This window comes from Homo sapiens, chromosome 1 (assembly GCF_000001405.40).
Source record: "Homo sapiens chromosome 1, GRCh38.p14 Primary Assembly".
NCBI classification, from domain to species: domain Eukaryota; kingdom Metazoa; phylum Chordata; class Mammalia; order Primates; family Hominidae; genus Homo; species Homo sapiens.
In genome coordinates this window covers 27610525-27637843 of record NC_000001.11, presented here as the reverse complement: position 1 = coordinate 27637843, position 27319 = coordinate 27610525, and the positions used below count along the sequence as shown (strand labels likewise).

The following is a 27319-nucleotide window of genomic DNA, read 5'->3' as shown; positions in this document are numbered from 1 at the left end:
GTGATCTCCGCTCACTGCAACCTCCGCCTCCTGGGTTCAAACGATTCTCCTGCCTCAGCCTCCTGAGTAGCTGGGATTACAGGCACCGGCACCACACCCAGCTAATTTTGGTATTTTTAGTAGAGGCGGGGCTTCACCAAATTGGCCAGGCTGGTCTCGATCTCCTGACCTCAAGTGATTCGCCCGCCTCAGCCTCCCAAAACAATGGGATTACAGGCGTCAGCCACCGAGCCCGGCCTGAGAAGCAATGTTGTCATTTTGTTCTTCCATTCATTTGCTTATTCAGTCATCAATTCTTGAATTTCTTCATTCATTCTTTCTTACCTTCCATTATTTAGTTTTTCACTGGGCTTTCCTTTGTTCATCTGTTAATTCCTTTGTCCTTTGGTTGATTCACGTGTTCCTATACACAGAAAGCCTGCTACTGTGTGCTGGGCCTTGTGTGGGTACTGGAGGCATCTACAAGAGCCAGACCCCTGCCCTTGAGGAAAACATATCCCACACACCCATCCCCCAGGAACCAGTGGTGCCCCAGGCAGAAGATGCTGAGGTTCTGCTGGGGGTGTGGAGTGGGTAGAGGCAGCAATCAGGGAAGGCCTCTAGAGCAGATGCTTGTGAGTCAGACCTTGAAGGATGACAGAGCGAGCATGATAGATTGGGGGGATCCCCCAAGAGCAGGGACCAGTCTCTCATCTCTGTGTTCCCTAAGGCTGGCACCTAAGACACAATTATAAACGTTTGCTTGTTTGCTAATTGAACATGTGGGCCGATGGCCAGGCAGGGAGCATTTGATGGCGGAGGTGATGCTGCCCGGCTAGGGTGAAGCCACTCTTCCAGAGACCCTGCACTGCCACTGGCTCCTCTGTCTTCCTCCTCATCCCTCCTCCCATTTCCTAAGAGAAAAGCATTCTTATCTCCATCCCACCACTCTGTTACCCCAGGCACATTGGGCCACACTTGAGCATGTGTACGCATGCACACACACATCCCCACATGCCCCTGCCCATACAAAGAAACACACTTGCCTGCACACCATGGCCTAGTTGTTGATTCCAAAAGCAAAGTCATCATGTCATTGCTTTCTCTCTCTCTCTCTCTCTCACACACACACACACACACACACACTTCTGTGTTTACGCACACTCTCCCTGCCTCTCACCACATCCCAACAGACACATCCTTCTCCACCAAACAGCCCTCCCCACCACACCTCTTCCTCTCCTGGACAGGAGGGATATTCCGGGTTCTTGCTTTAAGGCTGAAGTAACAGTGGTGGGAGTGGGGACTGAACCCCAGATTGAGGAGGGGTCAGGGATCCCTATCAGACAGAGAGACTGGAACTGATAGAGGATGCTACCGTTTCTCTTTTTGTTTTTAAAAATCTTTTTCCACATGTTCTAAGATACTCAGTTTTTCTTCCTTTTTTTTTTTTTTTTTTTTTTTCTTGAGACGGAGTCTCGCTCTGTCGCCCAGGCTGGAGTGCAGTGGCGCCATCTCGGCTCACTGCAAGCTCCGCCTCCCGGGTTCACACCATTCTCCTGCCTCAGCCTCCTGAGTAGCTGAGACTACAGGCGCCCGCCACCACGCCCGGCTAATTTTTTGATTTTTAGTAGAGATGGGCTTTCACTGTGTTAGCCAGGACGGTCTTGATCTCCTAACATCGTGATCCACCCGCCTCGGCCTCCCAAAGTGCTGGGATTACAGGCGTGAGCCGCTGCACCCGGCCTTTTCTTTCTTTTTTTTAAAAAAAGTCATTTTCTGCAACAAAACCCACATTCTTTTTTTGTGTTTTTTTTTTTTAAGGCAGGGTCTTGCTCTGTCACCCAAGGTAGAGTGCAGTAGCTCAATCACAGCTCACTGCAGCCTCGACCTGCCTGACTCGAGGGATCCTTCCACCTCTGCCTCTGCAGTAGCTGGGACCACAGGTGCACACCACCACACCGAGCTAACTTAAGAAAAATTTTTTTTGGTAGAGATGGTGTCTCCCTATGCTGCCTAGGCTGGTCTGGAATTCCTGGGCTCAAGCAATCCTCCCACCCAACCTCCCAAAGTGCTGGGATTACAGGCTGAGCCACTGCCCCCAGCCAGTTACTCAGTTTTTCTAAAACTTGGGTGCCTGGGGGAGGCTGACACCCTTCCCACTCCTCTGAAAGGCAGTTTCCTAAGGGAAGGGTCTTCTGCTGCTCACCACCCTTAACAGCCCTGTGTCCCCAGTGCTCAGCCCCTGAGGAAGGGAAGGCGTGCTGACAGGGTCCATGTGATCCATGTCCAGTGGCTCTGGTGACAGCAGTCTGAAGTCAACTGGCTGTGAGAACTCGAGTAAGGCCAGTCCCGATCTGGTCCTCAGTGATGGAGAAAAGCCCCTCTTAACCTCCAATTCAATGATCCTAAAAGAGCAGGTGCTTCGGGGGTGCTGAAACTGCGCTTTTGGAGGGGGCTTTTGGGAAGGCCGGGCTGGGGACTCAGGTCTGGAGGGTGACAGAGCCGACCTCCCGTAAACCAGGGAGGAGGAAGGTGGGGGCGGGTGGGCCTAGGATCTGGGGGCGCCTCCTCGCTGCGGGGAGCTGGCTTGGGGCTAGGGCGTGACTGTCTCCCTGCCACCATCACCGCCCGCCGGCCGTGACTGCAATAAGAGAAGTCCGAGGCGGCTTCCTCCTCCCTGCCCAGCAGGGGCGGCGGTCAGAGGCGGGCAGCACCCCAGTTCTCCCCGCACGCCGGCACTCGCGGCTGCTGGAGCCCCGGCTGGCTCACCCCGGGGCCGGGCAGAATTGGGCTCCAGGTAAGCGACAGCGTCGGGTGGGGACTGGGCAGGTCAAGCAGTGCCCTCCCCCTCGAGGCTCTGGAGAGAGGACTGGGGGTACACGGGAAGAGAAGCCTGAACCTGGGGGTCGGGGGACACATGAGCAAGGTGACAGCCAAAGGGACCCCAGCCCGAAAAGGCCTAAGGAGGAAAACGGGCGACCTGAAAAGCAAGGCTGATAAACCTGGAGGAGAGGGCGGAGGGGAGCACGGGGGAAGCCGACCAAAGGGACCCCCAAAAAGGTCTAGTGGGTAAAATGGAGGGGACTGATAAGAGTTTAGGAAGGGGGCTGAGGTGGGGGAGAAGGATTAAGGGGAATCCCCAGGACGGTCTGGGGGAGAAACTGAAGGGATCGTGAGAGTGGGACTTTGGGGAGAAGCCGACGGGTCTGATGGGTCCAGGAGAGGGGAAATGGGTGGGGGTGCTGGAGGGAACAGGAGAGGGAGCTGGCGGGAAGGGGGTTGAGGAGAACGACTTCTGGAGGACGGAGAACCTGGGGTGCAATTGCGGGTCCAGGAAGTTCCCCTCTTCCGAGCCGGCCGAAGTCGGGGTGAAGCCCACAGCCCGCAGGGTAACGTTAGCGGCCGCGACCGCGGCCCCGCGACCCTCTCGGCCCGCCCTTGCGGTAGGTTCCGGGCTGCAGGGGACTCCTGCCGGGCGCGCGAGGCGTGGGTCCCCGCTTCCTGGGGAAGTCCCCGCCCTCGGCAGGGACAGGCCTCTCCGGGCGCCCCCTCCGCGCCCGCGGCGGTCTCGGCCCGCGCTCCCCGCTGGATCCGGGAATTGCTGCCGCCCCGACGGAAATCCTGCCTTTGACCGCGAGTGCCCGCAGGGGCTGCCTCCAAGGCAACGAGAGGGCGGGCCGCGCTGGGCCGCCGCGGGGCTCCGGGTGGGCGCAGCCCCCTTTGCTCTCCGCCTTCGCCCCCTTTTGGAATCCTCGGTCTGGTGGGTGGGGGGTGGGCTTCCCGACCGAGGTAGGAGGCGATGCCGCTGTGTTCAGGGATCCTGGGGTGGAGGATCTGCTGTTTGAGAGACCTGGGTTCTTAGCAAGACTGGGCCCTTAATTGCTGTGTGACTGTGGGCAAGTTACAGGGCTTCTCTGGGCCTCACTTTCCTCATCTGAACTATGGTGAGAAATGATCCTTGTGTCCACTCTTCCCCCACGAGAATCAGGTGCAGAAAGCAGTTTTTGCTGAGTGTCCTGAAGGGTTAAGGGCTATCCCTGACTCAGCGAGCCTCCCCTTCACCTTCTCAAAAACATGCAGAGGAGGCCAGCCTGGGCAGCACAGGGAGACCCCCGTCCTGTCTCTACAAAAAAATATAGTTAGCCAGAAGGCTGGAAGTGGTGGCACCTGCTGTAGTCCCAGCTACTCCAGAGGCTGAGGCCGGAGGATCGCTGGAGCCCACGAGTTCAAGGCTGCAGTGAGAGCTCCTGGATGAGAGAGTGAGATTTTGTCTGTAAACAACAACAACAACAAAAAGCATGGAGGGGGACCAGACTGCCCGGCTCTCACTGACAGGGCCTCCAGGGACCAGCACACAGTTGGCGTCTAAATAGTTTATGGCTCTGATGAGAGCCCATACTGGGGAGGTCAGCAGAGTTAAAATCTGTCTCACACCCTCTCTGGTGCTGCATCCAGTTGGCCGCCCCTCGGGTGTGTACTCTCAGGGGCCCTGATGTCCTTGGCATCCTTCCGACTGTGGTGATGATGGGAGAGCAGGACCCTGTTCCCACTTCACAGATGGGAAGATGGAGGTTTGGGAGTTGGCAACCTGCAGGGCCAACAGTAGGGACCAGAATTCCAGGACATCTCGTCTCTGATGTAGCCTGAGCTGAGGCCTGAATCCTTACCTCATCCCTACCAAGTTTCATGTACCCTCCGGGGAGGAGGGTGTGGGGTTTAGGGGCTTCATGACTACTTCCTGTTCCAGTGAGTAGGTGCTCTCACACCCTCCTCCAGTGAGGGTGTGAGTGTTTGTATGTTTTGGGCTCTGAGTGAATGAGCATGAACCCTTGAGCATATGAGTGGATGTTTGGGTGATCTCTGCAGCCACCTGGGGCTGATGTGGCAAAGGAAGTGGCCAGACCTCAGGAGGCTGGGTAGGGAACCCCAGAGCTGGGGAAGTAGGGGCCAGGGCTCTTCCCACGCAGAGCAGACTGGGCTGACCTAAGGTGGGAAAAGGCAGGATGTCCCCCTCACCGCCCCACTCCCCTGAGGGACCAGGGAGGGGGCTTCCTGTCTGGCCACACTGTGAAATCTAGACTCCCATCCCTTGGCTGCCCCTGGACCCCCGCCCCCCGCCGCCATGGCTTCCATCTCCTGAAAATCCTGAGTCCCAGGCCAGATGGCATCTAAAGAGCTGTGTTTTAGAGGCTGGTGGGTGGTTTTCAGCAACAGGTGGAAAACCACTTTTACCCACAAGAAGTGGAAAAAACTGCTAATGGCCTCGGGACCACATGGAGGGTAAAGGCCACCCCCGATCCTGCACACACCTGGCCTCACCACGGTGGTGGTGGAGTCAGACAGGGTTGGGTGGGTATGTCTTCTTCAGGAGGCAGTTTCGAGGCCTCAAGAAAGGATGGTGTGAGATGAAAGGGGGTTAATGAAGGCAGGGCACGGTGGCTCACGCCTGTAATCCCAGCACTTTAGGAGGCCGAGGTGGGTGGATCACCTGAGGTCAGAAGTTCAAGAACAGCCTGGCCAACATGACTAAACCCCATCTCTACTAAAAATACAAAAATTTAGCTGGGCATGGTGGCAGACGCCTGTAATCCCAGCTACTCAGGAGGCTGAGGCAGGAGAATTGCTTGAACCCGGGAGGCAGAGGTTGCAGTGAGCCGAGATCGAACCATCGCATTCCAGCCTTGGCGACAGAATGAGACACTGTTTCAAAAAAAAAAAAAAGAAGAAGAAGAAGAAGAAGAACAAAGAAAGAAAGAAAGGGAGTTAATGAGCAGTGGGGGCCTCAGCAAAGGCACTGGCATTCAGCCAGGTGGAGGGTCTCGGTGAGAGGACTGAGGGTGAGGGATGGAAGCCCGCCCGGTCTGAGGGATAGGGCCTAGTGAGAGATGCGGCACAGTGGGATGGGAGTCACCTGCAGACCTCAGCCTTGCTCCCTGACCCTCCAGCCCTGGCCTGCCCCCGGCCAGCCCAGAGCCTGGAGGAGAAGCCGGAACTCTTGCAGGATGGTGGTTTCCTGCCCCTGCCCAAAGTCCCGGTTCCCTTTTGATGAAATCCCCCAGGCGGCTGGGCCAGCTCAGCCCTCTCACCTCACCCTGGGAACTTCTCTTTCTTCTCAGCCCTGCCCAGTTCTGTACCCTCTGGTCCCACACCGTCACTGCCACGGAGGACCTTCCTCAAGGGAAAGGAGGGAAGTGAAAGTTCACTGGGCACTTACTGTATGTCTGATGCTTTCAGTGATGTGACCCCATTTGATGCTGAGAAGCAACCCCAGGAGGTGGACATTTGTATTCTTATTTTATAGGCAAAGATGCTGCCGCTCAGGGAGATGAACTGACTTGCCCAATGCCTTAAGCTAGTTGTCAGGCAGGCTAGAATTTGAGCCTAAATCTGCCTCTAGATCCCACAGATACTTGGTGAGGGTTGCGGGGGCAGGACATCCTGTGTCTACATCAAAGAACTGGCATAGCTTTGGGAAGTGTGGGCCTCGAAAAAGGATGGGTGGACCTGGGGTTCCTATGTCCAGCAGTAGGGGTGAGTGGGAGGCAGGGTCCCTCCCTGCTGGGTGACCAGCTGCCATATGACAGGGGTGGTGTGTTCGACCGGAAGTATGACATTCACTAGTTAGGAACAGCATGATCTCCTGCTCAGGCTTTGGAGAACACAGCAGTGGGGGAGGGAACAGAACTCTGGACTTGAATTAATAGTCCTGACTTTGAATCCCTTGTCTGGCTGTGTGATCCTGGGAAAGTAACTTCCCCCTATGCAAAAGAGAAGGTGGAGTGGTAAATGGTCCCTGGGGGCCATTCTGGTTTTGGTTATTGGTCACACTTGGCCACTGCACATCGGGCAAGAGCCACATGTCATGAAGCCCTCACAACAACTACTCAGAAGGTGCAGATGCAACAACTAAGGCTCAGAGGCTTATGTCAAAGATCCAAGGTCATAGAGCTACTGAAGAATGGAGCTGGGGAGGGCCACAGGGCAGATGTTGAAGTGAGGAGCACTGCGGTCCAGGGTTGGACCTCAGTTTGATACTTGTAACCTGATTTTGACCCTGATGGGGATCTCGGAGGCGACTCCTGTAAACCAGATGTTCAAGAGACATATTTATAAACAGAACCAAGTGCCCAGAATGATGCTGTGGCTACTCTCTGAGCTGCCCCCTTTCTGGTATTAGCAGGCAGCGAAGTTCAGTGCTGAGAAAAGAGAGACCTGGCTTCTTCAGATTCAGCGACTGCCTGAGAAAATCTGGGCAGATATGGCTCTCTCTCTCTCTCTCCTGCGCCCCTCCCTCCCCCCACCTGCGCCCTGCCTGCTGTATCAAGGATTTAGAGCATGAGGCACAGGGCTGAGAACACTAGGTGCTCCTTAAGAGACACACGTTATTGCAGGGGTGTCCAATCTTTTGGCTTCCCTGGGCCGCATTGGAAGAAGAAAAATTGTCTTGAGCCACACATAAAATACACTAACACTAATGATAGCTGATGAGCTTTAAAAAATTGCAAAAAAGGCCGGGTGCAGTGGCTCATGCCTGTAATCCCAGCACTTTGGGAGGCCGAGGCGGGCAGATCACGAGGTCAGGAGATCGAGACCATCCGGGCTAACACGGTGAAACCCCGTCTCTACTCAAAATACAAAAAATTAGCCAGGCGTGTTGGCAGCGCGCCTGTAGTCCCAGCTACTCAGGAGGCTGAGGCAGAAGAATCACTTGAACCCAGGAGGCGGAGGTTGCAGTGAGCCAAGATTGTGCCACTTTACTCCAGCCTGGGCAACAGAGTGAGACCCCGTCTCAAAAAAAATCACAAAAAAAATCTCATAATGTTTTCAGAAAGTTTACTAATATGTGTTGGGCCACATTCAAAGCTGTCCTGGGCTGCATATGGCCCATGGACCATGGGATGGACAAGCTTGCATTATTGCTTCTACTAGGATTACAGAATGGACTAGTGGTTACAGTGGTTTTTGGCAACAAGTTGATCAGCATTGCATTTTAGCATCCTTTACTCACAATGTAATCTTGGGCAAGTTACTTAACATCTCTGTGCCTCAGTTTCTTCATCTGTAAAATAAGGGTAGTCATAAACCCACCTCATAGGTTCACCAAATAAGACCATGACTGGGAGTTACTTGGCAAGATGCTAGTCACTGTGTAACTGTTTAATAAATTAGCTCATTTTTACTGCCACCTGGATTTCTAGGAAGTCAAATTACTCTCCAAAGAATTGGTGGCACATAGAGATCAGAGCAAGAGGAGGATGAAGAGTCCTAGGGCTATTTTCATGCAGATGTCTGAGCAGAGTGAACCCAATCTGCTCTCCCTCCGTCTTTTTCCCTCCTTGTCTCTTTAGCTCTCTCTCTCTCTTTCTCTTCATCTCTGCCTCTCTCTGTTTCTATCTCTTTCTGTCTCTTGATTACTCTTTCTCCTTAATTCTCATTTCTGCCTCTGTCTCTTTGTCTCTGTTTCTTTCTGGCAGTGTGTGCTGGAGCCAGCTACTTACTGGCTCAGGGGAGTTCATTCTGTGTGTCTCTTCCACCCCAGCTTTCAGGAAGTCACTTTGGTAGCTTTAAATCAGCCATTGTGGGAATATTTACACCATGGAAATCAGAAAATGTGACAAATCAGGGCTTTTTCTTTTCTTTTCTTTTCTTTTTTTGAGAGTCAGTTTACCAGCATACCACGCTGTGTTTCTCTGTCTCTGTCTCTTCCTTCTATCTCTCTGTCTTTCTGTCTCTCTGGCTCTTTCTCTTTATCTCCCTGTATCTCTCAAACTCTGCCTCTCTCTCTCTTTCTTTCTGCCTCTCCTTTTTCTGTCTTTCCCCATCTCTTTCTTTCCTCTGACAAAACAGCATGAACATGGCTACATGCAGTGTGGCCCCTCCCTGCCTTGGGCCATGCAGATGTCATACCCTGTGCCCTACATCCCCTGACGCCTCAGCATACTGGTCCCCAGAGAGCCAGGCCTGGCCAGGGCTTTGGTCTGCATCAAGTTTGGAAGTGATAAGACCCAAGAGCTGCCTACCTCTGCCTGCTGACGACACGGTCAGTCCTGCCAGGGCTCTTCCTGAGCCCACAGAGCTTCCTTCTCAGATGCTGATAGTCTCTCCCTTCCAGCCATACTGGGCATGCAGAATTCAGGGATCCCCTCCATCTGATATAGATATGTTGTGGCAATATATACGTGGGTATTATTGGAAGTGGCAATATTGTATCTGTGTGTGAACATGAGAGATTGTATAAGTCTATGTTCTCCTATAGAGGAGAGCTCTATGTGGGTCCATGTCACCGGAGAGGGCTGTGTATATCTGTGTGTGTGTGTGTGTGTGTGTGTGTGTGTGTGTGTGTGTATCCCTACATGGGGGGTGGGGGGACAGTGTGGGGGCATCCGCATTTGTGCATGCTAGCAGGAATGGCTGCATCTGTCTGTATCTGTGATAGGCAATGGAGAGAAATGCTTGAAAGCTCAGATTCTGGAGCCAAACACCAGGATACATCATGTCTGTGGCCTTCTTTTTTGAGACAGAGTTTCACTATGCTGCCCAGGCTGGAGTACAGTGGCATGATCATAGCTCACTGCAGCCTCTATCTCCTGGTCTTGAGTGGTCCTCCTGCCTCAGCCTCTCGAGGCACGTGCCACCATGCCAAGCTAATTTTTGGAGTTTTTTTGGTTTTTTTTTGTTTTTTTTTTTTTTGAGACAGAGCTTCACTGTCACTCAGGCTGGAGTGCAGTGACAGGCGTAAGCCACCGTGCCTGGCCAATTTTTGTATTTTTTGTAGAGATGGGATTTGCCATATTGCCCAGGTTGGTCTCGAATTCCTGGACCCAAGCAATCCTCTTGCCTTGGCTTCCCAAAGTTCTGGGATTACAGATATGAGCCACTGTGACTGGCCAACCCTGGGCAGGTTTCCAAACCTCTCTGTGCTTCAGTTGCCTCATCAGTAATAATAATACTTAGGCCAGGTGCAGTGGCTCACCCCTGTAATCCCAACACTTTGGGAGGCCAAGGCAGGTGGATCACTTGAGGTCAGGAATTCAAGACCAGCCTGGCCAACATAGTGAAAACCCATCGCTACTAAAAATACAGAAATTAGCCTGGCATGGTGTTGGGTGCCTGTAATCCCAGCTACTCAGGAGGCTGAGGCAAGAGAATGGCTTGAACCCAGGAGGCGGAGGTTGCAGTGAGCTGAGATCATGCCATTGCACTCCAGCCTGGGTGACAAGAGTGAAACTCCCTCTCAAAATAAATAAATTAATAATAATAATACTACTTAAATCATAGGGTTGTGTGGATAAAATGAGATAATATAGGTAAAGTGCTTAATGCAGTGGCCAGCGCATATAGTAAGCGCTATAAATTTTGTATTTGCTATTCTTTTATAGAGGATGTGTGTGTGTGTGTGTGTGTGTGTGTGTGTTCATGTGCATGCACATCTATGTGCAGACGGATGAGGGCTGGAGGTGTGTGTATATGGGGTGTGTGTACACTAGAAGATGTTTGTGCTAGGAATCTGTGCAGAGGAGCCTGGAGCCTGTGCATGAGGCAGCTGAGGTAATGTGCCAACTGAGAAGGGGTCTGAAGGGCTGTGTGGATCTGGGTATCAGCATGGTGCGCCATTTGAGGTGTGTATGTGTGTCTTCCTGTGAGAAGGCTTTATTCTCACCCTTGGTTTTTCTGTTTTCTTTTTAAAATAGAGACAGGGTCTTACTCTGTCTCCCAGGCTGGAGTGCAGCGGTGCAATCACAGCTCCTGCAGCCTCGAACTCCCAGGCTTAAGCAATCCTCCCACCTCAGCCTCCCGAGTAGCTGGGACTACAGGTGGGTGCCATCAGGACTGGCTAATTAAAAAAAGATTTTTTTTTATAGAGACGGGGTGTCCCTATGTTGCTCAGGCTGGTCTCAAGCTCCTGGGCTCAAGCAATCATCCTGCCTCGGCCTACCAAAGTCCTGGGATAGCAGGTGTGAACCACTGTGCCCGGCCTCACCCTTGTTTTTGTATCAGCCCCATCTCTCTTTTCACCAGTTCCTGAAATCCCTCCCGCTGGGCCCTGGATGGCTTCCAGTCCTCCACCTCTATTTTCTGCCCTGGCTCTAACTAGCCCTGTAGCATCCTGGGGCGTTTTAGACACAGTGGTTTCATCCCAGGGAGGGGTCCCGGGGCAAAGGTCTCAGGCAGGGCCCAGTGAACAGGGGCTATTTTAGGGCAGGCTTCTCACCACAGCCCGCCCCACAGTTCACCACATGGGTGTGATGCCCCCACCCCCACCCAATACACACATGAGAGATCACTTAGAGCAAAGGGTGAGAGGGGCAGGTGGGGCTAGGGTGGAGACCAAAGCACTGATGTGACGGAACCATCAGCCAGGCAACTGGACCTGGTGGATCCAGGAAGACTTTCTGGAAGAGGTGAGTGGTGCTAGGTAGAAAGGATAGGACCCAGAGAGAAGAGGAAGAGAATATCTGTAAGGATGACTGGACTGGGGATCGAGAGAGAGAAGCTGGGGGCCCTTTCTTCTAGGACCTTGGGGCCCCTCTGGGGCAAATCAGGGTTCACAAGGTTGGCCCCACCCTAAACTCTCCATTCTCACATCTTAGGAAACCAAGCCCTCTCACCAGTCGGTTCCTCTCTGAGTGTTGCAATGGCAATGTTTCTGGCAGGGTGTGGGGGACCCTTGCTCAATGACCTCCTGCCCTGTTGCTCAGAGGATACCGCTGCCAGAAAAGGGTTGGCTCATTGTGGGGCTTCCCAAGGTACTCTGGTAGCCCCAGCTTCTGACCTGGTCCTTTCTCTGGTATGGGGATAGGAGGAGAGCTCCGGAGGTAGGTATCCACTCTCACTCAGCCACCACATGGAACCCTAGGGTGGCTGGGAGCACAGCAGGGTTCAGAGGAAGGACTGTTTTTTGTTTGTTTGTTTGTTTGTTTTTGAGATGGAGTCTTGCTCTGTCACCCGGGCTGGAGTGCAGTGGTGCGATCTCGGCTCACTGCAAGCTCCACCTCCCAGGTTCAAGTGATTCTGCTGCCTCGGCCTCCCAAGTAGCTGGGACTACAGGCGCCCACCTCCACGTCTGGCTAATTTTTGTATTTTTAGTAGAGACGGGGTTTCACCATATTGGCCAGGCTGGTCTCGAACTCCTGACCTTGTGATCCACTCACCTCGGTCTCCCAAAGTGCTGGGATTATAGGCGTGAGCCACTGCGCCTGGCCGGAAGAACTGGTTTTTAGGAGATGGTGACTGGGGACTGTGAGGGAGCTGAGCATGGCTTGATAGAAATCCTGTTAGAGAGATGATTATAATGTTCAAAATCATGTGTGTCTGAGTGTGTTCGTCTGTTAACCTGGCAGGCACCCCATGTATATGTGCATGTGTATGTGTGTGTGCTATTGTGAGCTTGGGCTTGTTAGAGCCTGTATTGGCGTGTGATGGGGTTGGCACGCACACTCATGCAAATATATGCTGTGAGTGTTATTGTGTGACTGTGCTGGTGGGTCAGGTGAGTATGAGTGTGAAAGAGAGCTGGTGTGGGTGGTTTGCCCTATGTGACGGGGGTTGTGTAAGTGTGCCAGGGGTGATAGGAAGGAAAGTGAAGGCAGAAGTCATGCTGGGGCAGAGCCCAGGCCTTCTGGCTTCCTGAAGAGGGCAGGAGCTGGGCAGCTGCTGACAGAAACATTGGCAGAGACTTCATCTTCCTTGTCCTTCTGTCTCACCCTCAGGTCTCTGACCCCTCCCAAGGATCATGCCGCAGCCCCACTGACCCAGGAGTAGGGGCCTAAGGGGTGAGTGGGGTAGACTGAGGGCTTTCAGGGTCAGGAAACAGGGTGGGGGTGGCCTTCCTGAACCCCACAACTCCTCACAGCCTCCTCCTCCTACAAGGACCCTGTTGCTAGGTAACGGATGGGGGAGCCAGAATGAGGCAGCTTGAGAGGCTGAAGGCTGGACCCACGACAGGAAATGGCCTTGATCCCCCTCTGCAGTGACTCTCCAGGTGCAGACACACAGCCTCACACACACTCACACACAAACATGCGCAGATATATAGACATACATGCAGAGATACACACATCCAGAGACAGGCACACTGCTCCCACACAGAGATAGGTGCACATTCATAGACACACAGACACAGAGACACCCACTCACACAGACAGGCACACACATACTCACACAGAAACACATGCACACAAACACGGTCTTACAGACATATACACATGCAGCCAAACACATACACAGAGACTTTTATACACTCTCGTATACACACAAACCTGCACACACAGACAGACATCCACAAAGAGCTGCACACACATGCATACCCACACAGGCAAACTCACCCATACTTAGAGACACACAAAGACGCACATGTACAAGCACACTGAAAGAGTCACAGAAACACAACATATCAAAGCAATAGGACCCAACCTGAGCAATATAGCAAGACCTTGTCTCTACTAAAAATCAAACAAATTAGCCAGGGGTACTGGCACGCACCTGTATAGTCCCAGTTCTTGGGAGGCTGAGACCAGAGGATCACTTGAGCCCAGGAGATCAAGGCTGCAGCAAGCTATGATTGTGCCACTGCACTCCAGCCTGGGCAACAGAGTGAGATCTTGTCTCAAAACAAAACAAAAAAAGCAAAGCAATAGGAGGCAAAAATATGCAAATAAGCATAGCAATATCCCAATGTAGAAAGCCAGCCCCAGAGATATAGACATGAGCCAATGGGAAGAGAAGCACTGAGGGGGGACATACTGTGAGGCAGACTGAACGGTACAGTAGGTGGCCCAGTTCCGCCTTTATCCCTTACAGGGAGGACCCCAATCTAGGCCCAAGAGGGAAAGCCACGTGCCTGTATGAGCGTATGAGCATGTGCATGCGCGTGTGTGCACAGGGTGGTGCACCTGGCAGGGGTCCTTGAGTGAGGCATGCCCCATTCTGTAGCAGGGAACCTGGAATGGGCTGTGTGTTCTGCAAGAAATTGGAGCCGGTGGCCACGGCCAAGGAGGATGCTGGCCTGGAAGGGGACTTCAGAAGCTACGGGGCAGCAGACCACTATGGGCCTGACCCCACTAAGGCCCGGCCTGCATCCTCATTTGCCCACATCCCCAACTACAGCAACTTCTCCTCTCAGGCCATCAACCCTGGCTTCCTTGATAGTGGCACCATCAGGGGTGTGTCAGGTGAGTCCAAGGGGTCGGAGGCAGGAGCTGCCTGGATCCTGGGAGAAACTGAGGGAAGAAGAAGAGATGCGAACTTGCCCTTAGGAGCCTCCAGGAGGATGTGGCAGATACAACCCCGCTTTCAAGATCACATGGGCTGAGGGAGTCTGTACAGCCCTCCCATCAGAAACCACAGTCTGCAGGGGAGGGTCAAGAAGCTCTACTCCCAGTCTGAGAGGGGCAGGATCCTGTGACAGATGCAAGTGACAAAGAGAAACTTCTTGCCCTTTTAGGTGCCACTTCCCAGATGGGAAGTCTTCTTGGTGGGGAAGAGGAGGAGTGGGCAACAAGGGGATCCTCCATGGTGGGAGGAATGGGCTTGAAGTTGTGTGTCCTAAGCTGTGGAGACCAAATCAGAAATTCCTTGGACCCCAAAGGCCTTTGGGAACCAGAGCACTAAAGGAGTGGGGAGGTGCAGCACCTGGCTGGGGAACAGGAATTTGGGGTGCAGCCCCCTTGGTGCTTCTGCCCCATGCCCTACCCTGCTGAGTAGCCCTGACTCTGCAGGGATTGGGGTGACCCTGTTCATTGCCCTGTATGACTATGAGGCTCGAACTGAGGATGACCTCACCTTCACCAAGGGCGAGAAGTTCCACATCCTGAACAATACGTAAGTGACCAGGCCACCTAGTCAGAACATTGCCTGGGCTGGGAGCAGGACACAGACAGGAATCCCACCTGGTCCCTAGCCTCAGAATGCTCCAGCCTAGTTGGGAACACATATACATAACAATAAAAACCCTGGGTGACTGCAACTGTGTGCTGGTTGAGGGGGGTGGTGTTGGGCCACTGCACCCGGCCTGGAGGAGATGATTTTTAAGCTGAGGCTATAAAAATGAAATAGACGGCCGGGTGCAGTGGCTCATGCCTGTAATCCCAGCACTTTGGGAGGCCAAGGCGGGTGGATCACCTGAGGTCAGGAGTTCGAGACCAGCCTGGCCAACATGGTGAAACCCTGTCTCTATTAAAAATACAAAAATTAGCAGGGCATGGTGGCGCATGCCTGTAATCCCAGCTACTTGAGAGGCTGAGGCAGAAGAATCACTTGAACCCGGGAGGCAGAGGTTGCAGTGAGCTGAGATTGCACCACTGCACTCCAGCCTAGGCAACAGAGGGAGACTCCATTTCAAAAAAATAAATAAATAATTAAAAAATAAAAAATAAAAATGAATAGACAGTGAAGGAAGAGGTAAGAAAAGAGGAAGAGAGTGAGAGAGAATGAGAATAAATGATGACTTCTGGAAACCACAAAGTGGTTCACCTTAGGTGGTTCATAAAATATGGGATGCAGAATGGGAGAGAACAGAGGCTAGAGAGGTAGGCAGAGGCAGATTCTGCCAGGCTTTTTTTTTTTTTTTTTTTTGAGTTGGAGTCTCGCTCTGTCTCCCGGGCTGGAGTGCAGTGGTGCAATCTTGGCTCACTGTAACCCCCGCCTCCTGGGTTCCAGTGATCCTGGGACTACAGGCAAGAGCCACCAAGCCTGGCTAATTTTTTGTATTTTCAGTAAAGATAGGGTTTCACCATGTTGGCCAGGATGGTCTCGAACTCCTGACCTCAGGAGATCTGCCTGCCTGGGCCTCCCAAACTGCTGGAATTACAGGCATGAGCCACCACACCTGGTCTCTGTCAGGCTTTTTAAGCCACATTGAGAAGTCTAGATTTTATCCAGAAGGAAATCAGTAGCCATTTTCTGTGGGGAAGTGACCTAGTCAGCTGTCCTCTGAATTCCCAATCCCCAGCCCAACCCAGCTGGGGAGCCCAAGGAAGAAGCTAAGAGCCCTAAGTGCCCCCGAGCTTATTCCTTCTGCAGGGACAAGCCCTCCCAGGGAAGCTGCAGTGGCTGGGGCAGAGCGGACAAAAGCCCCAGTGGTGGGGGGTGTCCAAGATGAGGGTTTGGCAGGATTCATCTCTGCAGACCTGTGTGGCTCCACCTGGCCTCAGGGTGCCTTGGGGGCTGGAGGTGCTGCTGACCATGCCCTGTTCTGTGCCTACAGTGAAGGTGACTGGTGGGAGGCTCGGTCTCTCAGCTCCGGAAAAACTGGCTGCATTCCCAGCAACTACGTGGCCCCTGTTGACTCAATCCAAGCTGAAGAGTAAGTAGGGATTGGGGCAAGACCAGCCCTATGGACAGGACCCTGGAGTCCAGACTCCAAGGCCACCTCTTGGACAAGTCATTGCTCCAGTCCGAGCCTGTCTCCTTATCTAATAATTTTGTAAGGTCATTGTGAGAACAAAAGAAGATTGTACTGATAATAATAATAGTAGATAATAGAGCATGTACTATGTTCTGGGCACTATTCAAAGTACTGTCTGTGTATTAACGGGGTTAGAAATTACTACTATCCTATTTCACAAATGAGGAAGTTGAGGCACAGAGAAAGTAAATATCCTGTGCAAGTTCACATGGCTAGTGAGTGGTGGAGCTGATGTATGAACCCAGATAGTTGGGCTGCATTTGCTAAGCATTACACATATTGCCTCCCAGTAAAAACAACAGTGTATGAGCTTTAAAAAATTGTAAAGTGCTGAAAAAGTGCAAGGGAGCATTACTAGGAATTAATTCTATTAAGGAGGCAAGAATTTTTCTTTTTCTTTTTCTTTTTGTTTTTCTTTTCTTTTCTTTCTTTCTTTCTTTTTTTTTTTTTTTTTTTTTTTTTTTTGAGACAGGGTCCTACTCTGTTGCCTAGGCTAGAGTGTAGTGTAGTGGCACAATCTCGGCTCACCGCAGCTTTGACCTCCCTGGCTCAGATGATTCTTTCACCATGCCTGGCTAATATTTTTTTTTTTAAGTAGAGATGGTGTTTCGCCATATTGCCCAGGCTGGTCTTGAACTCCTGAGCTCAAGCCATCCGCCCATCTTGGCCTCCCAAAGTTCAGGGATTACAGCCATGAGCCACCGAGACCTGGCCCAAGAGGCAGGAATTTATCATTCATTGAATACCTTTATATACTTGAGCAAGTATACTACAGCAAGTATTTATCTCCTTGGTTCACTTAATTCTCACAATAACACCGTTATATTATTAGTTTTTTAAGAGACAGGGGCGTGCTCTGATGCCCAGGCTGGGGTACAGTGACATGATTTTAGCTTACTACAGCCTCAAACTCCTGAGCTCAAGTGATCCTCCCACCTCAGCCTCCTGAGTAGCTGATACTACCGGTGTGTGCCACCATGCCTGGCTAATTTTTGTATATTTTTTTATAGAAGCAGAATCTTGCTATGTTGCTCAGGCTGGTCTCAAACTTCTGAGCTCAAGCAGTCCTCTCACCTTGGCTTCCCAAAGTGCTGGGATTTCAGGCATGAGTCACCATGCCTGGCCTTGATATTATTATTTTAGACAGAGTCTTGCTCTGTTGCCCAGGTTGGAGGGCAGTGGCGTAATCTTGGCTCACTGCAACCTCCACCTCCTGAGTTCAAGCAATTCTCCTGCCTCAGCCTTCCAAGTACCTGGGACTACAGGTGCACGCCACCACACCTGGCTAATTTTTATAATTTTAGTAGAGACGGGGTTTCACGATGTTGGCCAGGCTGGTCTCAAACTCCTGACCTCAAGTGATCTTCCTGCCTCAGACTCCCAAAGTGCTGAGATTACAGGCATGAGCCACCGTGTCCGGCCCCTTGATATTATTATTGTTCCCATTTTACAGATGAGGAAACTGAGGCTCAAAAAGCTTTTAAAAATCTATCCTCACAAATGTCATACATATATGAGAAAAGAAGGGATTGAAGAGACTTTGCAGAGTGAGAATCCAGGACTCTGTGACTGATTTGGGTTATGGGGAGTGGGAGGAATCAAGGGTGGCTCAAAGTCTCCTTAAGGAGCTGGGTGGATGATGGCACCATTTGCTAAGGCGGGAAACACAGGAGCAGGTATAAGTTCATGAGTTCTAGGGGGTACTTGTTGGATTGTGGTTTGTGGAGAGGAACATCCAGGTGGACGAAGCTGCCAGCAATTCGATTAGGTTGTGCTTTGTATGGCAGGCAACCAGCCCATGCTAATCCATGCCCCTGAATCAGCCCAGAGGAAGGGACACCTTTTCTTAATTGCCACTAAAACTCCTCAGTTTGTTTGCTGTGGCCCTTGCAGAGGGCACAACGGGCTAGGGCAGAAATTTGGGACTCATGAGAGTAAAGATGATCATTAAGGCTATATAGGAGGGGGCTGGGGGCGGTGACACATGCATGTAATCCCAGCACTTTGGGAGGCCGAGGCGGGCGGATCACATGAGGTCAGGAGTTCAAGACCAGCCTGGCCAATGTGGTGAAACCTTATCTCTACTAAAAATACAAAAATTAGCCGGGTGTAGTGGCAGGCACCTGTAGTTCCAGCTACTCAGAAGGCTGAGGCAAGAGAATCACTTGAACCTGGGAGGTGGAGGTTGCAGTGAGCTGAGATCGAGCCACTGCACTCCAGCCTGGGTGACAGAGCAAGACTCCGTCTCAAAAAAAATTAATTAATTAAAAATTTTTAAAAAAGCTATATAGACGGTTAAGGAAGAGAGTGGAGAGTGCAAAAGGTTGGCCCTAGGACCCCACTTTGGGGAAAGCTGCCCTCGAAGGAGAAGGAGCCATTGGAGAAGAGAGGAAATCCAGACCAGGCCAAGTCAGAACAACCGAGAGAGCGGAGAAGCTTCAGGAAACAAGAGAGGGCGTGTCAGAGGCTACCGCTGGATTTGGCAGTGGGGGTGACCTTGGTGAGAGATTTCTCTGTGTGAGGGTGGGAGGCGGAGGCCAGACAGCAGAGCCTGGGAGGGAGTGGGAGGTGAGGAAGTGGAGACCCAAGTGTGAAGCACTTTTTCAAGTGAAGGGAAGGCGAGAAGATACAGCAGAATGTTGACGGCAAGATGGAACTTAGAATAGTTTCCTTTGGGGAAGGGAGAAATGTGGGCATGTTTGGAGGTTGTTGGAATAGAGAGGCTGCATGCAGGTGGAGGCTGCTGGCAGGAAGTGGGTATCACTGAGCAGGAGCGGGTAGGCGAGGTTCAGAGGTCAAGTGCGGTGAGGCCCAAGTCTGGGGAGGTGGTAGGAGGCGTGAAGAAGAGGACGGACAATTATGCAGAGGACAGGAGGTTTGTGGGGAGCTTCATGCTTGTGTCCACATCTTGGAGCCAGTGTCACCAAGCACTGAGAGGTGCTCAGTGCAGTGTTGTGGTTACGGGTAGTGTGGTTAGGAGCACAGGCCCTAAAGCAGACAGCCTGGGTTCCTGTTCTAGCAACTGCTGCCCTGACTGTCTAATGGGGTTTAACAATAGTAGCTATCTCACAACATTGTTAGGAGAATTAAGTGAATACATACGTGTATTAAGGCAGACCCTAACACGAAATATGTGTGTTATTATTATAGTGATTATTAAGGAGGTAGCTAATGTCATGCGTGTGGGAGCGGGGAGGGCTTTGAAAAAACTTGACAATGTGTCCTGTCTATACAGTCCCTCAACACTTCCTCCGTCCCCCTCCTGCCTGCCCTCCTGGACACACCACTTGCCAATGCCTTCCCCTGTTTCCTGAACTGTGCCTAGTACCCAGGGGCGGACTGACCTTCCCAGGGTCCACTGAGACTTCCACCACCCTTGGTTTGAAAACACGAGGCTCCTTTAATTCAACCCAAGATGGCCACAGGCCAGTTTCATGATCATCTGAGTCTTCTATGGCACCTGTGGTCACTTCAGCTCCCCCATTGTACCTGCACAGTTGGTTTAGGGCTACGGTTCAATCCCAGAAAGAATCCCCAAGGGAGAGGAGTGATTGAGGCCTGAGGTTGAAGTTTAGACTTAGGACAACATCCAAGTCTAAGAGAGTGCAGGAAGAGCAGTAGCCGGGGCGGGAGCAGCCAGAGAGAAGAGAAGCAGGAGACTGTGCTGCTCTGGAGGCCAAAGGAGGAAAGAGTTTGGAGGTGGAGGTGGGAGAAGGATCTGAGTGATCTGATTACTGGAGTGGTGAAAAAAGAACTAGGGAGAGCGGCAGAGGATTTTAGGTGGAGCTCATTAGCCAGCCTGTGGACAGGTCACTTTCCCTCTCTGAGCCTCAACTTCCTCATCTGTAAAATGAGTGCACAGAAGGGCTACAGTGAGATGAACTGAGGCTCCATGGCACCCTGATGACTGTGATTGTAGCAATTTTAATTCAAGAGAAACCTAACGAGAAGAGATGCTAACCTTTGCAGGGCACCTACTGTGTGCCAGGCATTTTACACTCCCCTTCTCTGTAACCCTCCCAGCCAGGATGTGAAGCAGGTGTACCAGCCCCATTTTACACATGGGGAAAATGGAGTCTTGGCTTGTGAGGTGACTGTGCAGGAGGCTGAGGTGAGGTTTGAGCAGAGCGTACCTGACTCTTGCCTGCCTTTCCCAACAGGTGGTACTTTGGAAAGATTGGGAGAAAGGATGCAGAGAGGCAGCTGCTTTCACCAGGCAACCCCCAGGGGGCCTTTCTCATTCGGGAAAGCGAGACCACCAAAGGTAGGGGTGGTGCCACGCCCCAAGGCGACTGGGAGGCCCAGCCATTGGGGTAGGGCTAGGAGCGGTAGGCTGCTTGGGTTAAGGCCAAGACTGGGACCAGGTCCTAGGGATGCTGCTGTCGGGCCTCTCCCAGCTCCCAGACTAGGGCAGAGGAGAACAGCAGATCAAAAGTGATCCTCTCCACAGGTGCCTACTCCCTGTCCATCCGGGACTGGGATCAGACCAGAGGCGATCATGTGAAGCATTACAAGATCCGCAAACTGGACATGGGCGGCTACTACATCACCACACGGGTTCAGTTCAACTCGGTGCAGGAGCTGGTGCAGCACTACATGGGTGAGGGCAGGGGCCTCAGATCCCTGAACCAACCAACTGAAGCATTGTCCAGATGGGGGAACTGAGGCCCAGAGAAGGGAAGGGACTACCAAGCAGTATTGGCCAGACGGAAACCAGAACCCAAGGATGGGGTCTGCCAGCCCAGGATCCAGCTCTGTGAGCTTCTGGAGGAAAGCAGTCCTTCACCAAGCAGCACCCCCTAATGACTGAGCAAGGCATTGGCCAGTTTCTTGCCTCAAGGCCTCAATTTGTGGAAACTTGATGGAGTGTTTGTGCCGCCTGAATGCCCCACCAAGGCACCAGGACTGCCCTGTGGGCAGACAGGGAGCCATCATCACAGGGCCCTGAGCAGGGGGTGACAGAGGCTGGTCTCACTTTTGTGAGAAACTCTGGCTGCTGGTGGAGCTTGGATGCCAGGGGCCAAGGCAGAGTGAGGGGTCCATTAGAAGGCAGTGGCTGTTGTCCAGGTGAGAGGTGGTGGAGGCCAGACTAAATCGGTGGCAGTGGAGTAAAGATGAAGCAGACGATTCTGAAGCTGGGTAGGAGGCAGAATAGGCCTGACTTGGTGGAGAATTGGCTGTGGGGGTGAAGGGAAGGCAGGAGTCAATGCCCACGTTTCTGCCTTGATTGGTTATGCCAAGGATGAGGTCCACGGAAGACCGTGGGCCTCATGTCCACACCTTTGCCTGGAATCCCAACCCCATTTCCACCTGTGAGAATCCCACCTTATCCTTCAAGGCCCAGCTGGAGGCTACCTCCTATGGGAGGCCCCCAGTCCTTACAGAAGGCTTACAGGGATCATCTCTCCCTCTGGGTGCCACCCCCTTCCTTGGGCACCAACATGTTCCCCTATTTAGTGGATCGGGTTGCCTTTCTTCCTGGCCTGTGACCTCACTTGGGGCCTAGTTCCTTATAACTGATCTTAGGGTCTGGCACCAGGCTGGGATAGGATAAGGAGTGGAGGGGGGTGTCCTGGCCCACCTGTGACTCTACTTCATGACCCCTCCCCTAGAGGTGAATGACGGGCTGTGCAACCTGCTCATCGCGCCCTGCACCATCATGAAGCCGCAGACGCTGGGCCTGGCCAAGGACGCCTGGGAGATCAGCCGCAGCTCCATCACGCTGGAGCGCCGGCTGGGCACCGGCTGCTTCGGGGATGTGTGGCTGGGTACGGAGCTCCCGGGGGCCGGGACGAGGGCCTGGGCTCGGGGGAGAGGGTCCTGACAAGACAGCCTCCGAGCAGGCACGTGGAACGGCAGCACTAAGGTGGCGGTGAAGACGCTGAAGCCGGGCACCATGTCCCCGAAGGCCTTCCTGGAGGAGGCGCAGGTCATGAAGCTGCTGCGGCACGACAAGCTGGTGCAGCTGTACGCCGTGGTGTCGGAGGAGCCCATCTACATCGTGACCGAGTTCATGTGTCACGGTCAGGAGGCGGAGCCTGGTCGGGCGGGATTCGGGGTGAAGTTAAGAGGGGAGTTTTCAGGCGTGGGACCTGGGACGCGATCTGTGAGGGACAAGGGACAATGGGCAGAGTCCCACTAAGGGACCAGGTGTGTAAAACGACTGGAGGGCTGAGGTGGGAGCCGGGCCGAGTGAGACCACTAGGGAGCTGGGGAGGGGGGCGGTGCCTCCGGTGTTAGGCGGGTAGGGCTTGGGCTAACGAAGGCAGAATCGGGAATGAGGGAGGGTCTGGGGCGGAGTCTGGGTGGGTCGTGTCCGGAACACCAAGGAACAGAAGAAACGAGATGTGGGCAGAGTCCGTGTCTGGCAGCAGGGCCAGGACGAGACAAGTGAGGGGTTGAGGCACCCGCGGGGTCCTAAGTGAGGGGCGGGTCCAGGTGGGAGGGGCTGAGGGGCGGGGTCAAGCGAGAGGAGGAGGGGCTGGGGCCCGGGGTAGGGCTTTGCCGCTGACTTTCTGGCTTCTTCCCAGGCAGCTTGCTGGATTTTCTCAAGAACCCAGAGGGCCAGGATTTGAGGCTGCCCCAATTGGTGGACATGGCAGCCCAGGTAACTGGGCCAGCAGCCTTTACCTCCCGGACCTCCCACCTATTAACTGTTCACAAATTCTCTGTCCCTTCAAACGCCTGGGAGGGCGGCCCCGCCCCCTGCATCAGCTGTGCCTCCAGCTGTGCCTGAGAGGTACTGCCTCTCTTTCTGGGCCTCAGTCTCCCCCTCTGGAAAGTGGGTTTTTCAAATGGTCCCTCACCCCTCAAACAGGCCACGGTGTTGTGAGTCCACATGAGCTCCCATCTCTCCACACTATGGTCCCCCAGGTAGCTGAGGGCATGGCCTACATGGAACGCATGAACTACATTCACCGCGACCTGAGGGCAGCCAACATCCTGGTTGGGGAGCGGCTGGCGTGCAAGATCGCAGACTTTGGCTTGGCGCGTCTCATCAAGGACGATGAGTACAACCCCTGCCAAGGTGCCCTGCTTCACCCCACCTTCCAAGAGCTCCCCATGCAACAAGGGACTTCCATGGGGCCCCACGCACTCAGGAACCCTTCCTCACTCCAGGTCGCCCGAGTCGCCCCATCCTGATGTAGTATGAGAGGCAATTCTGGGCTCAAATCCCAGGTCGGCCACTTACCAGCCATGTGGCCTTGGGCAAGTCACCTAACCTCTGGGAGCTGCCGTTTCTCTTCTGTAAAGTGACAATATTCAGATAACAGGAAGTCAGCAGATGTTTACCAGGCACCTGCTATGTGACAGGCACAGCTATAATTCTTGAATGAAAGACAATGGCGTGTAACAGTGGGAATTCTGTAGCCAGAATGCCTGAGTATGAATCCCAGCCAGGTATTAACTCTGTGATCTGGGCAAGTTACCTAACTACTCAGTGTCTCCGTTTCCTCGTCTGTAAAATGAGTCTCTATCTCATGGGGGTTTTGGGAGGGTTAAATGAGTTAATGCATGCATATCACTTAAAACAGTGTCTGGCACACAGGAAAGGCTAGCCAAGTATTGGCCGTTATTAGGATAAGAATTATTGCGATTTTTGGAAAGTGCCCATCACTATACTAGACACATAGTAGGTGTTGACTAGATACCATGTCCTTTCTACTATGCCCAGAGACCCTTGTGCTCAGGATCCCCGAAATCCTCATCCCTAGAGTCCCCATTCTCTCTCTGTCTCTTTTTTTTTTTTTTTTTTTTTTTTGAGATGGAGTCTCACTGTCACCCAGGCTGAAGTGCAGTGGTGCGATCTCAGGTTATTGAAGCCTCCCAGGTTCAAGCAATTCTCCTGCCGCAGCCTCCCTAGTAGCTGGGATTACAGGCACCCGCCACCATGCCCGGCTAATTTTTGTATTTTTAGTAGAGACAGGGTTTCGCCATGTTGGCCAGGCTGGTCTCAAACTCCTGACCTCAAGTGATCCGCCTGCCTTGGCCTCCCAAAGTGCTGGGATTACAGACGTGAGCCACTGCGCCCAGACCCCATTCTCTTAATCCAGCTGTTTCCAGGGACCCCCTCACTAACTTTCCCTGCTCCCCCATCTTCTCCAGGTTCCAAGTTCCCCATCAAGTGGACAGCCCCAGAAGCTGCCCTCTTTGGCAGATTCACCATCAAGTCAGACGTGTGGTCCTTTGGGATCCTGCTCACTGAGCTCATCACCAAGGGCCGAATCCCCTACCCAGGTTTGCCTCGCCAGGGGTAGGGCTGGGGTGGGGGATGGTCACGGGGAAGGGCTTCCACCTGGCTGTCCCTTTGACTGACAGAGACCCATCCTTCAGGCATGAATAAACGGGAAGTGTTGGAACAGGTGGAGCAGGGCTACCACATGCCGTGCCCTCCAGGCTGCCCAGCATCCCTGTACGAGGCCATGGAACAGACCTGGCGTCTGGACCCGGAGGAGAGGCCTACCTTCGAGTACCTGCAGTCCTTCCTGGAGGACTACTTCACCTCCGCTGAACCACAGTACCAGCCCGGGGATCAGACATAGCCTGTCCGGGCATCAACCCTCTCTGGCGGTGGCCACCAGTCCTTGCCAATCCCCAGAGCTGTTCTTCCAAAGCCCCCAGGCTGGCTTAGAACCCCATAGAGTCCTAGCATCACCGAGGACGTGGCTGCTCTGACACCACCTAGGGCAACCTACTTGTTTTACAGATGGGGCAAAAGGAGGCCCAGAGCTGATCTCTCATCCGCTCTGGCCCCAAGCACTATTTCTTCCTTTTCCACTTAGGCCCCTACATGCCTGTAGCCTTTCTCACTCCATCCCCACCCAAAGTGCTCAGACCTTGTCTAGTTATTTATAAAACTGTATGTACCTCCCTCACTTCTCTCCTATCACTGCTTTCCTACTCTCCTTTTATCTCACTCTAGTCCAGGTGCCAAGAATTTCCCTTCTACCCTCTATTCTCTTGTGTCTGTAAGTTACAAAGTCAGGAAAAGTCTTGGCTGGACCCCTTTCCTGCTGGGTGGATGCAGTGGTCCAGGACTGGGGTCTGGGCCCAGGTTTGAGGGAGAAGGTTGCAGAGCACTTCCCACCTCTCTGAATAGTGTGTATGTGTTGGTTTATTGATTCTGTAAATAAGTAAAATGACAATATGAATCCTCAAACCATGAAATACCCTTGAACCTTCCTTTGGGAGCGGGGGTGGTCAATAGGGGGTGAACGGACAGATATGGCTACAGGCAGCAGCAGGGGAAGCTGGAGAGGGCCCTAATGCCTACCAAGCACGGGGCATCCAAGGTGTGGAGTTTTAGAACACCCAGAGTCCCACTGCTCATCTGCACGTGAGTTTAGAAGACAAGCAGCTGAAGATACATTAAAATGTCCCCTTCGTTGCTGATATGGCCTTCAATCTGTGTATAATAGGTTTGCTAATTCTTTATCTGAGTTCATCAGATTTGCCATTCATCACAGGCGCAATGGGACAACCTTAGGCCTCCTTTGCCAGGGCAGGGAGGAAGACCACAGTGGACCCTCTGGAGCTGTCAGACTCTCCAAAAGAGGACAGAAGAGAGGGGAGGAGAGAGAAGAGGCCTGAGGGTTAGTCTAACTCACTGGATCTCATTAGGGGAGTTTTGCCCCCAGGGGAGCTTTTGGAGAGGTTTGAAGGCAGTTTGATTTGTTTGGATCCTACAGGTAGGGTTCAGGGATGCTGAACAATCTGCAGTGCACCTGCGCGATGATGAATCTTCCCACTCCCTCGTTCCCCTGAGAGAAACTCTGGAAGCTGACATGCCTCCGTGTGGAAACAAGGGGAGCAGGGAATAAAGATTCCCACCTCTCCCATCAGAAAATGTTTGTTGACCATCTGACTTACTAAGGGAATGGACAGAGAAGGAATCTGGGAGCTGGGAATCACTGCAGCAATTGGCAAATCATTACTGAGCATTGACTCTGCAAAGCATTGACTCTTTGCTAAGGAGGACCCTGGGAACACAAACATGAATAAGACCTGTCCCTGCCCTGGAGGAGGAGTTCATAGTCAAGCAGAGGAGGAAAATTATAATAATAATAACTCACTTATTAAGTGTCTTCTGAATGTCAGATGTATTTACAGCCATCTTTTCAATTTAATCCAGTACTGAGCCTGGTTCTGTGATTAGCCCCATTTGTAGGTGAGAAAACTGAGGCTCAGGGGTTACATGATGTACCAAGAGCATGCAGTGTATGTGACAGAGCTAGGATTTGAACCTAGATCTTACACCAAAGCTCATGGTCTTTTCACTAGACTTCATTGCCTCTAGGCTTTGGGAAGAGAGCCTCTGTGGAGTGTGTGTGTGTGCGTGTGTGTGTGTGTGTGTGTGTGTGTGTGATCCTTCCTCCTCTAGTTATTGGTAGAAAGATTCCCTGGAAATCCTCCTATGCTGGGTGACCTAAAGGAAAGAAAGATAAGGCAATCAATGCAGATTGAGAATTCCCTGTGTCCTGCCCTGTGCTGGGGGTTGCTGAATGAGAGCAGTAAGATGGAGAGAAGCCAAATGGCTGCTCAGAGGGGTTGTCATAGGGGTGGGAGCCTTAGCTCCACAGAAAAAGTCTCAGGGGCCAAGGCTTCCCAAGGGCCACAGTTTCTGGCTGACCAAACTCACAAGAGCCTGATGTATAAGCCAGAGGCCAGTGATTCTGCCTGCCATGAAATAAGCAGAGAAGAGCACGGCTCTGGAGCTGTAGTGCCTGGTGTGAATCCTGCCTCCACCACTCACTAGCTGTGTGGTTTAGTGCAAGTTTTTCACCTCTCGAAGCCTCAATTTCCTCATCTGTGAAATAGTAATCAAATGATCAATACATGTGAGCTCTCTCTGTCACTACCATTTGCAAATTGTTGACTGTGTGCCAGGCATCCTGCTAAGTGCATGCATGCTGCGATTTTATCCTCGCAGAT

At 52.6% G+C, this 27319-nt stretch overlaps 1 protein-coding gene across 3 annotated transcripts, besides 12 other annotated features; it reads left to right on the top strand.

Moving 5' to 3' along the window:
• Nucleotides 476-535: an enhancer, noted in NCBI's record as "active region_564". NCBI's record gives its function as "activates an Ori minimal core promoter by ATAC-STARR-seq in GM12878 lymphoblastoid cells {active_cell/tissue: GM12878}" and the evidence as "EXISTENCE:reporter gene assay evidence [ECO:0000049][PMID:35858748]".
• Nucleotides 2659-25780, top strand: FGR (FGR proto-oncogene, Src family tyrosine kinase). Of its 3 annotated transcripts, none has more exons than NM_005248.3 (13): nucleotides 2659-2779; nucleotides 12693-12755; nucleotides 13915-14153; nucleotides 14700-14802; nucleotides 16187-16285; nucleotides 20548-20651; nucleotides 20838-20987; nucleotides 22000-22155; nucleotides 22231-22410; nucleotides 22918-22994; nucleotides 23261-23414; nucleotides 24494-24625; nucleotides 24722-25780. In NM_005248.3, the coding sequence occupies exons 3-13, from the start codon at nucleotides 13928-13930 to the stop codon at nucleotides 24928-24930; spliced, it is 1590 nt and encodes a 529-aa protein (NP_005239.1). In that variant the 5' UTR covers nucleotides 2659-2779; nucleotides 12693-12755; nucleotides 13915-13927; the 3' UTR covers nucleotides 24931-25780. The 3 variants fall into 3 exon arrangements, with proteins under 3 accessions (NP_005239.1, NP_001036194.1, NP_001036212.1); NM_001042729.2 differs by lacking the exon at nucleotides 2659-2779 and adding an exon at nucleotides 11247-11384; NM_001042747.2 differs by lacking the exon at nucleotides 2659-2779 and adding an exon at nucleotides 11593-11798.
• Nucleotides 3534-3583: a silencer, noted in NCBI's record as "silent region_526". NCBI's record gives its function as "represses an Ori minimal core promoter by ATAC-STARR-seq in GM12878 lymphoblastoid cells {active_cell/tissue: GM12878}" and the evidence as "EXISTENCE:reporter gene assay evidence [ECO:0000049][PMID:35858748]".
• Nucleotides 5164-5213: an enhancer, noted in NCBI's record as "active region_563". NCBI's record gives its function as "activates an Ori minimal core promoter by ATAC-STARR-seq in GM12878 lymphoblastoid cells {active_cell/tissue: GM12878}" and the evidence as "EXISTENCE:reporter gene assay evidence [ECO:0000049][PMID:35858748]".
• Nucleotides 5442-5942: an enhancer, noted in NCBI's record as "H3K4me1 hESC enhancer chr1:27958413-27958913 (GRCh37/hg19 assembly coordinates)". NCBI's record gives its function as "activates a minimal SCP1, AML or CMV promoter by ChIP-STARR-seq in primed H9 embryonic stem cells {active_cell/tissue: H9 hESC(primed)}" and the evidence as "EXISTENCE:reporter gene assay evidence [ECO:0000049][PMID:30033119]".
• Nucleotides 5614-5753: an enhancer, noted in NCBI's record as "active region_562". NCBI's record gives its function as "activates an Ori minimal core promoter by ATAC-STARR-seq in GM12878 lymphoblastoid cells {active_cell/tissue: GM12878}" and the evidence as "EXISTENCE:reporter gene assay evidence [ECO:0000049][PMID:35858748]".
• Nucleotides 5884-5933: an enhancer, noted in NCBI's record as "active region_561". NCBI's record gives its function as "activates an Ori minimal core promoter by ATAC-STARR-seq in GM12878 lymphoblastoid cells {active_cell/tissue: GM12878}" and the evidence as "EXISTENCE:reporter gene assay evidence [ECO:0000049][PMID:35858748]".
• Nucleotides 12392-12686: a silencer, noted in NCBI's record as "tiled region #6936; HepG2 Repressive non-DNase unmatched - State 22:ReprW, and K562 Repressive non-DNase unmatched - State 22:ReprW". NCBI's record gives its function as "represses a minimal TATA promoter and a strong SV40 promoter by Sharpr-MPRA in HepG2 and K562 cells {active_cell/tissue: HepG2 | K562}" and the evidence as "EXISTENCE:reporter gene assay evidence [ECO:0000049][PMID:27701403]".
• Nucleotides 13511-14332: an enhancer, noted in NCBI's record as "H3K27ac-H3K4me1 hESC enhancer chr1:27950023-27950844 (GRCh37/hg19 assembly coordinates)". NCBI's record gives its function as "activates a minimal SCP1, AML or CMV promoter by ChIP-STARR-seq in naive H9 embryonic stem cells {active_cell/tissue: H9 hESC(naive)}" and the evidence as "EXISTENCE:reporter gene assay evidence [ECO:0000049][PMID:30033119]".
• Nucleotides 14749-14958: an enhancer, noted in NCBI's record as "active region_560". NCBI's record gives its function as "activates an Ori minimal core promoter by ATAC-STARR-seq in GM12878 lymphoblastoid cells {active_cell/tissue: GM12878}" and the evidence as "EXISTENCE:reporter gene assay evidence [ECO:0000049][PMID:35858748]".
• Nucleotides 19286-19445: a silencer, noted in NCBI's record as "silent region_525". NCBI's record gives its function as "represses an Ori minimal core promoter by ATAC-STARR-seq in GM12878 lymphoblastoid cells {active_cell/tissue: GM12878}" and the evidence as "EXISTENCE:reporter gene assay evidence [ECO:0000049][PMID:35858748]".
• Nucleotides 22799-23346: an enhancer, noted in NCBI's record as "H3K4me1 hESC enhancer chr1:27941009-27941556 (GRCh37/hg19 assembly coordinates)". NCBI's record gives its function as "activates a minimal SCP1, AML or CMV promoter by ChIP-STARR-seq in naive H9 embryonic stem cells {active_cell/tissue: H9 hESC(naive)}" and the evidence as "EXISTENCE:reporter gene assay evidence [ECO:0000049][PMID:30033119]".
• Nucleotides 24284-24784: an enhancer, noted in NCBI's record as "H3K4me1 hESC enhancer chr1:27939571-27940071 (GRCh37/hg19 assembly coordinates)". NCBI's record gives its function as "activates a minimal SCP1, AML or CMV promoter by ChIP-STARR-seq in naive H9 embryonic stem cells {active_cell/tissue: H9 hESC(naive)}" and the evidence as "EXISTENCE:reporter gene assay evidence [ECO:0000049][PMID:30033119]".
• Nucleotides 25781-27319: the final 1539 nt, after the last annotated feature.

Bases quoted from the DNA above. Each gene is read 5' to 3' on its own strand.
- FGR (NM_005248.3), top strand. From the start codon at position 13,928: ATGGGCTGTGTGTTCTGCAAGAAATTGGAGCCGGTGGCCACGGCCAAG. The intron at 16,286-20,547 runs GTAAGTAGGGAT...CTTTCCCAACAG, and splicing joins GACTCAATCCAAGCTGAAGA to GTGGTACTTTGGAAAGATTG. The intron at 20,652-20,837 runs GTAGGGGTGGTG...TCCTCTCCACAG, and splicing joins GGAAAGCGAGACCACCAAAG to GTGCCTACTCCCTGTCCATC.